At 43.1% G+C, this 12,120-nt stretch overlaps 1 protein-coding gene across 12 annotated transcripts in view, besides 1 other annotated feature; it reads right to left on the bottom strand.

Moving 5' to 3' along the window:
- Positions 1-298: 298 nt before the first annotated feature.
- The window catches only part of ANKRD13A (ankyrin repeat domain 13A), a 40,551-nt gene continuing 28,729 nt past the window's right edge, over positions 299-12,120 (bottom strand). For 5 of the 12 annotated variants that reach the window (XM_005253984.2, XM_005253980.4, XM_005253981.4 and 2 more), the window contains 6 exons: positions 11,420-11,553; positions 10,427-10,584; positions 9,304-9,417; positions 6,105-6,265; positions 3,734-3,801; positions 299-2,703 (listed from right to left, as the gene is read on the bottom strand). In XM_005253984.2, coding sequence (XP_005254041.1) covers positions 2,508-2,703; positions 3,734-3,801; positions 6,105-6,265; positions 9,304-9,417; positions 10,427-10,584; positions 11,420-11,553 — 831 coding nt within the window. In that variant the 3' untranslated portion in view covers positions 299-2,507. Of the gene's footprint in view, positions 2,704-3,733; positions 3,802-6,104; positions 6,266-7,351; positions 7,616-9,303; positions 9,418-10,426; positions 10,585-11,419; positions 11,554-12,120 lie in introns of those variants that run through there. The other 7 variants (NM_033121.2, XM_005253982.4, XM_047429810.1 and 4 more) reach the window with 5 other exon arrangements.
- Positions 10,849-12,048: an enhancer, noted in NCBI's record as "BRD4-independent group 4 enhancer chr12:110465819-110467018 (GRCh37/hg19 assembly coordinates)". NCBI's record gives its function as "activates an origin of replication core promoter dependent on BRD2, P300/CBP, MED14 and CDK7 cofactors, and independent of BRD4, by STARR-seq in HCT116 cells {active_cell/tissue: HCT116}" and the evidence as "EXISTENCE:reporter gene assay evidence [ECO:0000049][PMID:35650434]".

Genomic DNA, 12,120 nt, shown 5'->3' with positions numbered 1-12,120 from the left:
TTCCTGCTGATATTGGGCCACTCAAGCTTAGCTTTTCAGTTTTTAAATAATCCATAGTCATTGCACCTCTTGACCTGAAAGAGTAATGGTTTTCTTCATAGTGTCCTTGTGGCTTCAAAGTATTGATATCTACTTTCCCCTAAAAGCAAAGCAGCTCCTTTACATCTTCCCAGAAATACAGCCTCATTTCTGGAACCCATACATTTCTACTGGCCACTGCCTTTGTTGTTTTTAATACCCGCTTATTTAGATATAGGAAGAGTTTGGAAGCCTTATCATCTGGACTTCTAGGAACAGCCTCACAAAGCAGTTGGCTTCAAGGGATAGCATTGATGCAGAGCTTTGATGTTGGCTGGGCTTCCCTTACCCCACAAGAGCCAGTTCCCCTCCAGGAGGACCACAGAGGTGTCAGAACAGCCCAACACTGGCTTGCTTTTAGTTGCCATTTGAAACAAGCAGCATGGGGCTTGTTAACCTGGGCAGGAAGGCTGGGAGGAGCATGCCACCTTTGCAGTGATGAACTGAGCGAAGTGAGGCATTCTAATGTTCTACTGACATACGTAACAGGAAGTGTGGGTACATCCAGTGACTAGAAAAAACTGAAAAGGAAAAAGACTCAAAGACTGGAATTTTGTATGAGCACCCTCTAAGGAAGCAGTCTTTATTTGCATTTTTAGAGTGAACACATATATGAAAAACACTGCAACAGGTTGACACAATGCTCAGTCCCTTTTTAAGTGAATTCCTGGGGAGAAAGTCAAGGACCTTAGGGAGCAGAGCAGTGGAATGCAAACACAGAAATTACCTATGAGTCACTTTTGTGAGCCAATGACACGGCCTCACTGCAGCCATTCCAAGAAGTATCTTTGCTCACGGTAAATGCAAAGTAAACAAAATACCACACTGCATATTTGAAACAAACAAATGTGACGTTGCCTATACTGGCCTCATGTGCAGAAGGAATTTTGGTCAGACAATGACAAAAAAAAAAAACAAAACAGATTGTGAAATGGAATTAAAAGCACAATTCTTTGTATCTGGGAACGTTTCACTGGCAACACTAACTGTATGATACAGACGTTACCTGGAACAGTAGTTATGTTTCTCTTCCTATCCCCAAAGAAGCACAATAGAAGAAATAGACGCAAAATGGAGGAGGGTGTTGTTTACCAGGTTATTTCAGTGCAGCCTGTGGGAATGAATACACGGGCCACAGTGAGCAGTGCCCTTGGCTGTATTCCCCAGGGTTCTGTATGTTGTGCGATGGTTATATACAAGAGGGTTTGACAAAAGAGAGTTAACTACTAAAGGTATCCAAAAAAGGCCTGAGAAAATCTGGTTAAAATGTATAACCTTGTATTGCTACTGATGGGAGTTGTTTTTATATCTTTTACAAATAATAAAAAGATTGTTAAAAAATAGATTTATCCAGAAAGATGTTGATTTGAACTCTAAAAAGCAACGTGGAATCATTATTTTCCCTTTTGAATGAAGAGCCATGGAGCTCCGTGGTTTTCAGCTCCCTTTCTGGTTGCAAATCAATCCTTCCTCTGGAGTGAGTCTAGGGCATGCGGGCTCTTCCTAGGTGTCTACGTGGAAATCCTTCACTCATGCAGGTGTAGAACACACCTGGTTTGGTTCTGTGTGTTCCAATATTTTGGCCAGCTTGCCCACTTCAAGAACAAGCCTCAGGTTCCCCTAGCTGCTCCTTCAGGGACAGGATTAGCTGCCTTTGATTTAGCCTGGAGAATCCTGCTCTCAAAAGAATTGCCTTTACAAATTCAAATCAGATCCTTCGATGCGTGCAGTGAGGTGATGTGAAACTATTAGTAATGTTTAAGGCTAAGGCAACATCCATGGCCATTTGTGTATCTTAATTTGATGCAAATAGTTAACAATAATCTAAAATAGATTCTATATGTATCTCCTCTAACTTTAGCTGGGTGTGGAAGGAATGGAATCAGATAGATGGAGGAAGAATAATGACAATGTCCTAGAAACCCTGTAAAAAGGTAAAAATAAGGAGATCAGCACAGATTACCCATTTCTTTGGTGAACAGTAAAGAAGTGTCTCCAATTCTCATAGATCACACTTTACAAAGGCGGCTGCTGCTCTTATATATAAAAGCACCCTGACTCTGCAATAACTTGTCTTGTTATCACTCCTTGATAAAAATTTATCTACAAACCTGCGGGGATTGGGGTTTTGTCTAAAGCTGGTAGTAAAAATGTGACCTGCAAGCCAATACAGCTAATGGAAAGTGATGATGCTCTCCTCCCCTTAGCCTGGAGATGGGGCCTGCAATCCCTGGTCCCTTCTCCACCCCAGGGAGCAGCCTGGATGGGCCCAGGAGTCCCTGGTTCTGCACCTCTGCATAAAGAAGGGGCAGTTGTTGCCTGCTGCATGCACGCAAGGTGCAGGCCCTTAGCCCTAGGGCCCTGGTTGACACAGCATCTGTGACAGCCCACAGCCTCTGCTTTGTGCAGAGGCTCACAGGCTGAAAGGTCTATTTGTCAGTGAGTGACAGCTGTAAGACTTGCTGGAGCTCAGCCTCTTCCTCCTGGAGCCGGAGCTCCCATTCCTCCAGCTCTTTGGCAGAGAGCTCCATGGCTAGCTGCAAGTCATTATCAAAACGGCTTGTCTCGCTCAGGGCGCTGGGGCACAGGCCTTCTGTGCTGGTGAGGAGGCTCTCCTGGATGGCCCTGGGTTGGAAAACAGATAAAAAGGGAGAGTCACTACTATCATCATCATGGTGGCAGCAGTAACTACATTTCTTAACCGCTTACCAAGGGCACACTGTGCCAGGCATTTAATATGCATGATGCCAATTAATCCCACATAACTGGCGGTGTAGGTGTTGTATACGGGTGAGAAACCCCACAATCTTGCCCAAGACCACCCAACCAGTAAGTGATAGGGCTGGGAATTGAACTTGGATCTGTTTTAAAGCAAAACTCAGGTTCTTCATCAACAGGCTCTCATAGACACCTTAAGTATAAGTCTTCGTAAAATGAATCCTCGCGGTTTTTCCCGTAATCTCTGGAGCTGTTCCTCCAAACTTCCTTATCTTTACAATTATATAAACTTCCCACTGAGGACATCTAGGCCCTGTGATCATACATCATTCATAGAAGATCAAACCAATCAGAAAAAACTGACTCAGTACGTTTCCCCCAATGGCACTGACCTGTGAACCAGTCAGCAATTCTATCACCCATTCCTGGAAACTTGCTATCAAGAGTCTAGAGTTATTATAAGTAACTGCCACAAGAGGAAGCAAGAGAGCCAACACTTTAGTCTTTTTTTTTTTTGAGACGGAGTCTCGCTCTATCGCCCAGGCTGGAGTGCAGTGGCGCGATCTCGGCTCACTGCAAGCTCCGCCTCCTGGGTTTGCCATTCTCCTGCCTCAGCCTCCCGAGTAGCTGAGACTACAGGTGCCTGGCACCATGCCCGGCTAATTTTTTGTATTTTTTTTAGGAGAGACAGGGTTTCACCGTGTTAGCCAGGATGGTCTCAATCTTCTGACCTCGTGATCCGCCTGCCTCGGCCTCCCAAAATGCTGGGATTATAGGCGTGAGCCACCGCTCCTGGCCTACTTTTTCTAGTCTTTCCTGCCAGTTTGTGGCACCGTACATCTGCCTGAGGACCAAATGCACAGTGCCACGCGTCTGCTCGCCTGTGTCCAGGCCTGTGTTCACCCTGGTTTATTCCAGAGTCACGTCAGTCAATCACCTCTCATACTGGGCGTCATAGGTGTTTGTCTGGCTGATCCCTCCATTCGAAGCTGGTCCTGAAAGTTCCTGGCAAAGACAAATGTGATAGACATGAATACGTCTTAGGAGAAATTGGTGCCATTCTGGTAAGGAAACGATGGCAGCAAGAACCAAATTAAAAGTCTTTCCATGACCATTATCAATAGTGCTGTGTGAAAAGCTAACAGGGACTTGGGTTACCTCAAAAACAACACCTAAGTGGGAGGTAGTAACATGCCACAGCCTAACTCACAGCCACAACCTTCTCATCCTTTGTACAAAATCAGTCTCTTAAATACAGCTAACCCACGTGGAAGATATACACAACGAAAAGCAAAAACACAGCTGACCTTGGGCAAAGTTCAAGTGACCAAAGCAGGTTTTTGTTTTTTTAGAGACAGGGTCGCACTCTGTTGTCCAGGCTCAAGGGTAGTGATGTGATCGTAGCTCACTGCAGCCTTGACCCCAGGGCACAAGAAATCCTCCCACCTAAGCCTCCTGACTAGTTGGGAATACAGGTGCACACCACCATACTTGGCTTTTAAAATTTTTTGGTAGAGGCTAGGCATGGTGGCTCACACCTCTAATCCCAGCACTTTGGGAGGGCAAGGCTGGTGGATCACTTGAGGTCTGGAGTTTGGGATCAGCCTGGACAACATGGTAAAACCCCGTCTCTACTAAAAACACAAAAACTAGCTGGGTCTGGTGGTGCGCACCTGTAATCCCAGCTACTCGGGAGGGTGAGGCATGAGAATCACTTGAACCTGGGAGGCAGAGGCTGCAGTGAGCCAATATTGTGCCCCTGCACTGCAGCCTGAGCAAAAGAGTGAGACTCTGCCTCAAAAATTAAAAAAAAAAAAAAATTTGGTAGATATAGGATCTCACTATGTTGCCCAGGCTGGTCTCAGACTCCTGGGCTCAATCAGTCCTCCCATCTTGGCTTCCCAAAGTGCTGGGATTATAGGCATGAGCCACTGCACCCAGCCAGTAATTCTTCTAGGGCAAGATTAGAAGACACAATTCAATACTGGTAGTCTTTGACTTTGGCTACTTCCCTTGTTAAAACTTATGGTCAACAAGGTTTATGAAGCTACTTGGGAGCTGGCGGGGGGAGCTAAGCTCACTTACATAGGGAAAGGAAAAGCATACCAGGCTGATGGTGATGTGCAGGGGTCTTCTCCCAGGATGCCTCCCAAAGGGAACATGCTTGCTTTGGGGTCTGGCTCGGAAAACTGAATGGGTCTGGGAATGGGGCCATGGTGGTGGCAGGGGGAAGTGGAGGAGGTAGACTCACATTACACAAGCACTAAGACTCAGGAATAGAACCAGAAAGCTATAAGCTTGAACCAGTGAGGACGCTGGAGTGTGAGCACTGTTCTCAAAGCAGCAGCCCTGTGAGGGCAGGGGCTGCTTCCCAGAGAATTCCCAGCACCTGGCACAGAGCCTGGCACAAAGAAGGTACTCTGCAAATATCTGAATGAAGAATGGAAGAAAAAGCCAATTAACAAATAAATGGACTGCAGGAACCCAGGACACACCAGAGGGTGCTGGAGGCAGACCAGACCCTACCCTAGTAGAGCCAGGAGGCACAGAAGGAAGGAGATGGAAGGAGTTGATGTTAGGGGAGGAGGACCTCAAGCCTTGGACTGTCCCAGGTAGGTGAGGCATGGAGGGAGAACCAGATATGACAATAAAAGGCAACTGTTCTACTGGGCACAGTGGTGCATGACTTTAGTCCCAGCTACTTGGGAGGCTGAGGTGGGAGGATCTCTTGAACCCAGGAGTTTGAGGGTGCAATATGATCATGCCGGGGAACAGCCACTGCACTCCGACTTGGGCAACATAGAGTCACACACACACACACAAAGCCTACTGCTTACACAGGTCTGTCCTGTCCTTCATTTTCTGTTTCACTAGAGACCCAGAGAGAGTTTAGGGAGATGGTACCCTTTGTGGAGGAAGTGGGATTCAAATCCACTTCACTACCTTCATCCGAGACTACTGACACACAGGTAATCCTTCAGGAAAAATATGATACTGCTTCAGTGCTAGAAAATGATGAAGCACATCTCAAAAAGTACAGAATTACAAGCTATGTGCGTGAATATGAGGAAAAGGAAAGTCTGCCTGAAGACATCTTGTGAATGGTGCTGACTGGGATTATGTAGATGGTCTCTTACATAACAAGCTTTTGTAAGAAGACCAGATGCACAAAGTATAACCTATGCAAATACCATGAATGTGTCAAACTTGATATTTAGAATAAATCTTTCAGATTAGCCAAACACTGAGGCTAACCCAGAGGGTAAGACCTCCCACGCCCTGCCATTAGAGTATTCTGATAAACACACCTGGCTCCTGCTGGACTCCAGCAGACTTTGCTGGATGGCAAACTGCATTATCTCGTAATCTTCATCTTGCAAATGCACATTTCTGCCATTGTCTTGAACATAGTAAGATTCGGGAATTTCAAACACAGATTGATCAACCTCAAAGTTTGTGATGTGGGAAGCTGAAACAAAAGGCAACCGTCCAGTGTCTGAGTTCATTACATTTCCACTCCAACTTTTTGCAAAAATGTTGTACATTAGAAAAAAAAGAAAGGCTCAAAATTATAACAATCAAGGCTTACTATTATATGAGAGATTCTGAGGAAGCATGACAGAAAAAAGTGACAGAATACAGCTTTTTTCTTTTTCCTTGATTTTAGTGGAAACAACGAACACAGTCATAAAAAAATACACAAGACTATAAAATGAAAAGCGCAGATTTCTCCCCCTAAACATATACGCACAGTCACACCAATGTGTTTCTTCCTTTTGCAGGAAGATATATGGTAAATATATAAAAGTATATATAAAATATCTGAACACTTAAAAATGATAATAATTAAACAAATGCCTGTGTGCCCTTCACCTAGCCTAAGACACAGAACACTATCAATAACTGCCGGGCGCGGTGGCTCACGCCTGTAGTCCCAGCACTTTGGGAGGCTGAGGCAGGCAGATCACAAGGTCAGGAGATCGAGACCATCTTGGCTAACATGGTGAAACCCCGTCTCTACTAAAAATACAAAAAAAAAAAAAAATTAGCCGGGCGTGGTGGCGGGCACCTGTAGTCCCAGCTACTCGGGAGGCTGAGGCAGGAGAATGGCATGAACCCGGGAGGCGGAGCTTGCAGTGAGCCAAGATCGCACCACTGCACTCCAGCCTGGGTGACAGAGTAAGACTGTCTCAAAAAAAAAAAAAAAAAAGAAAAAGAAAAAAACACTATCAATACCATACTGCGGGCACATCCCTTGTTAACAATATTCCCTTCTTCCTCTCCAGAGGTAAATACATAATTCAGAATAGTTGTTTACACTGCCTAGCTCTTCTCTGGAGCTTGCCACATGTATATCATCCTAATAGTTTGTATTAGCCTGTTTGTGAACTCGACATAAATGGAATCATGCGGAATTTATTCTTCAAATTGGATTTTCTTCATTCAACATTATGCTTTTGAAATTCAACAGTTTTGACGCACATAGCTATAAATTTTTATTTTCAATACTATATGTTATTCTGTTGTATTAATAGAGCACAATAGCGCATTCTACCATCTCGGGACATTTGGGTCGTTTCCAGGTTTCTGCTGTTATGAATGGATGCTGCTGCCCAGTACTGGGGTCTCCAGATGCTCATGTGCATAACTTTCTTTAGGGTACACATCTAGGAATTGCTAGGTCATCCACATCTTCAGTTTATACAGTAATGCCGAATGTTTTATTCAAGGAACTATACCAATCTCCTCTTCCAGCCAAGAGTGCACGAGTGTTCCTTAGCTGCACAACCTCATGAACACATCTCACCCAACTTTGTTGCTACATGGGAATGTAAAGGTGTATATTATTGTCGAGTTCAATTGTTTTTATTTGAAGTCTTAATTTATATACATTAAAATGCTATCTTTTAATTCCTCCTACTGGTAGACTACAGGGGAGAAACATAGGACCATCATGATAGTTGCAGAAAACACATCTCACAAAAATCAATACTTAAAAATGGTAATAACTCTCAGCAAACTAGAAATATAAGAGAATAATGTCCTCCAACTAATAAGGGACATTTATAAAAAACCTACACAGCTAACATCATACCTAATGGCACAACAATCCTTCCTCCCCTAGAACCAGGAACAAGACAAGGACAGCCATTCCTACCACTCTTACTCAACATTGTACTAGATGTCCTAGCCAGTCCAGTAAGTCAAGAAAAAGAAATGAAAAGCTTAAAGATTAGAAAGGAAAAAGTAAAATTTTCTTTATTAATAGACAACATGACCATATATGTAAGAAATTCTAAGAAATCTACAAAAAAGTGTAAGACAAGTAAATTCAGCCATGTTACAAGATAAACAAGGTCAATCCTGGCCATGCAATTGTGTAAGAAAAAAAAAAGATAAAAAATTTTTAAAAACGATTCAAGGTCAAAATACAAAACTCAATTATATTTCTATATACTAGTAACTGGAAATGAAATTAAGAAAATAAGTCCATTTACAATTGCATCTAAAATCATGAATTGTATTGATGGCAAAGGAGTGTAAGGAAATTTGGGGGCATATGGAAATGCTGTCTACCTTGACTATGGTGGTGGTTACACAGATGCATACATTTGTCAAAATGTGGCTGGGTATGGTGGCTCACACTAGCACTTTGGGAGGCCGAGCTGGGTGGATCACTTGAGGTCAGGAGTTCCAGACCAGCCTAGCCAACATGGTGAAACCCAGTCTCTAATAAAAATACAAAAATCAGCCAGGCATGGTGGCACGCACCTGTATTCCCAGCTACTTGGGAGACTAGGCAAGAAAATCGCTTGAGCCTGGGAGGCAGAGGCTGCAGTGAGCAGAGATTGTGCCACTGCATGCCAGCCTAGGTGACAGAGTGAGACTCTGAGAAAAAAAAAAAAAATGCACTGAACCATCACACTTAAAATGAGAGCATTTTATTGTATGTACATTACACCTCAATAAAGCTGATTTTTAAGAACATCCTTTCTTTTTAATATAACTAGGATCATATATATTCTACAAGTTTTTTTTTGCTTAATCTAAACTAAATCTGAAATTTTCTTTCATCCAACACAGACATCTACTCCCTCAGATATTCCAGCTTCAGAGTGAATTATGAATATGATGACTGAATTATAATTTTTTTTTTTTGAGATGTAGTTTTGCTCTTGTTGCCCAGGCTGGAGTGCAATGGTACAATCTCGGCTCACAGCAACCTCCATCCCCCCGCCTCTCCCCCAGTTCAAGCGATTCTCCTGCCTCAGCCTCTCGAGTAGCTGGGATTACAGGCATGCGCCACCACACCCGGCTAATTTTTGTATTATTAGTAGAGACAGGGTTTCTCCATGTTGGTCAGGCTGGTCTCAAACTCCCGACCTCAGGTGATCCACCCACCTCGGCCTCCCAAAGTGCTGGGATTACAGGCATAAGCCACCACGTCCGGCCATAAATTTTTTTTTAAATAACAAAACTAAACTTTGTATTTATTTATTTTTTTACCTGAATCAGCCTGGGTCCCTTCCACATTTTGAGATACAGATTCTTCGGCAGTGCTACAGCCATTAACATTTCCAAATGTAATCCGTGCATTTAAGACATGAAACAAGGGAATTTCTAACAAACAAAATAAAAACTTTTATAAGTAAACTTTACTGAGAATAACAATAATAGTTATCATTTACTAAGTGCTTACTATGCCAAGTACTTTGATAAGTATAATTTTATTTAAGCCTCATAACAACCCTTCCCAATACACAGACGGGAAAACTGAGATTGAGAGTTGTGTATTTTCGGTCAGGCGCGGTGGCTTACACCTGTAATCCCAGCACTTTGGGAGGCCAAGGCGAGCTGATCACCTGAGGTCAGGAGTTCGAGACCAGCCTAACCAACATGATAAAACCCCATCTCTACTAAAAATACAAAAATTAGCTGGGCGTGGTGATGCATGCCTATAATCCCAGCTACTTAGGAGGCTGAGGCAGGAAAATCGCTTGAACCCAGGAGGCAGAGGTTGCAGTGAGCCAAGATCATGCCACTTCATTCCAGCCTGGGCAACAGAGCGAGACTCCATCTCAAAAAAAAAAAAGAGAAAATGAGTTATGTATTTTCTCCTAGATCACAGTGAGTAAGTGATCAAGCCAGGGTTCAAGTATCATGAACATACAACTATCCAAAATTAATACTCTTCATGAGTAGTATGTATGATATATACATATATAGCATTATGCATACTAGCTTGGGACGTAGATCATATTTACATATCAAAGGATCTTGGTGTCAACTGTCTTCCTCAAATAATTATCTAATTTGAAGTCTCACTGAATTAAGGTTTGACATTAAAACAATGACTGTGTCATGTTTTTATGCCTTTTTATATCTGTCAGCACCATTTGCAAATAGAAATGATGGTTGGAGATCTCTTGACTTTGATACACAAAATGAACCACTAATCATAACACTTCTTTAAATCAAACCACAGGAGAACTCTGACCTCCTCTGTTATGTCTATAAGCTACTTTGACCTAAAGCACTCCAATTCCCTGAAGCATCCTGCCACCCACATGCTGCCACCCACAAACATGGGCAGAACCTCCAAGTGTTGCTGAAGTTTATTTAGCAGTACCTATTTTGACAGGAAATCCAGGTGGGAATTCCAATTTGATGAAATCTCTCAGTCTTGCAAAATGAGCACTCGTTCGAGCCATTAGGTCAATGATGGGAATGACCTGCTCCACCAGAGAGAGGGGAAACTCTTCACACATCCACAACATTGCTTTAAACCTGCAGAATTCAACCAAGAAAAGACTGAGGTCATCTCCACCAGATGGGAAAAGGAGATTATTGCTATGCAGTAGGCTAGACAACAGCAGCTTTACTCCACACTCTGCCCAGTCATCTCTTAATTCAGACCTATTAAAGGTCAAATGTCTAGGGCCACAAGGAATTCACATCACCCTAAAATCTGGCAATAAAGGCAAGCGACCTGCATGACAACCTGCCACGATCAAAGCCTTAATTGACAGCAAGCATGAAGAAATGATAGCGGGTGGAACAGTTTCATTTGAATTTGATCAGCTGAAGCTGGTTAGCAATAAAAAAAAAAAGGAATTCTTACATCCAATCTAGATTCTATTTGGAAAGGAGCTAATAACATGGACAATCTACTGTTAGCTTTCATGGCAAAGTAATTTTAAAATTATTTTTTATAAAAAGGGGCAGAGGAGGCTGGGCGCAGTGGCTCATGCCTGTAATCCCAGCAGTTTGGGAGGCCCAGGCGGGCGGATCACAAGGTCAGGAGTTCGAGACCAGCCTGACCAATATGGTGAAACCCTATCTCTACTAAAAATACAAAAATTAGCTGGGCGTGGTGGCACGCGCCTGTAGTCCCAGCTACTCAGGAGGCTGAGGCAGGAGAACCGCTTGAACCTGGGAGGCAGAGGTTGCAGTGAGCCGAGTTCGTGCCACTGCACTCCAGCCTAGGCGACAGAGCGAGACTCCGTCTGAAAAAAAAATAAGGGTGGTGGGGAGGGCAGTGGAATGATCCAACATAACACCATAAAACAGCACAATTTCTGAAACATACATAGGTTGAAAATGGCAGCTGAACCTCTCTTACTTCTGTGTTCTAATCGTCAGCTCTTTCGGCCTTCCAATGTCCCTGTCTTTCAGATCAAACTCTTCATTGAAGTACTCATCAGGCGTGATGGCTGTGGGGTTGTTTGCAGTAGCACATTCCGTGGTGAGGTCCTGCTGAGCCAGAACTCAGGAGAGTCAGAAATGCCAAATGATGTTCACAAGTGAAGGCCTGTGGCACTCAGTGTCTGAGGTGGACGTGTTAACCAGCTAAAGACCGGGAAGTTCTATTCACTAACTTTTTTGCATGGAACAAGAAAATCTATGAGGATATCACCAAACTACACAGGAAGTGTAATGGATTTCTTCATTTTAAAATATTTCTCTACTCTCCTTTACATTTTTATCTCCTGATTATAACAAAGAAAAAAAGAAAGAAATATCTGAAAGTGCATGAGACTTGGAAGACTTGGAGTTGAAGTTCTAGCTGTTTCCCTGTCTAGCTTTGATAGTGGAAAGGTAATTTCATTTTTCTGACCCGCAGGGACATCCACTGTACCAAGTTCATATAGTTACTGTGAGCATCAAGTAAGAAAATATTTGTTAAGGTGCTCTGTTGCAATATAAAGTCCTGAATCCTTTTTAAGTTCCATTTCTATAAAGAGGCCCCTCGTTTATAATGGATAAGAGGGAAAGCACCTGATTTCTATAATCACTACCCCTCCTCTAAAATCCTTATTTATT

The sequence above is a fragment of the Homo sapiens genome, chromosome 12 (assembly GCF_000001405.40).
Source record: "Homo sapiens chromosome 12, GRCh38.p14 Primary Assembly".
Classification (NCBI taxonomy): Eukaryota; Metazoa; Chordata; class Mammalia; order Primates; family Hominidae; genus Homo; species Homo sapiens.
Note: the sequence above shows the minus strand (reverse complement) of the source record. Positions and strands in the feature narration are given on the sequence as shown.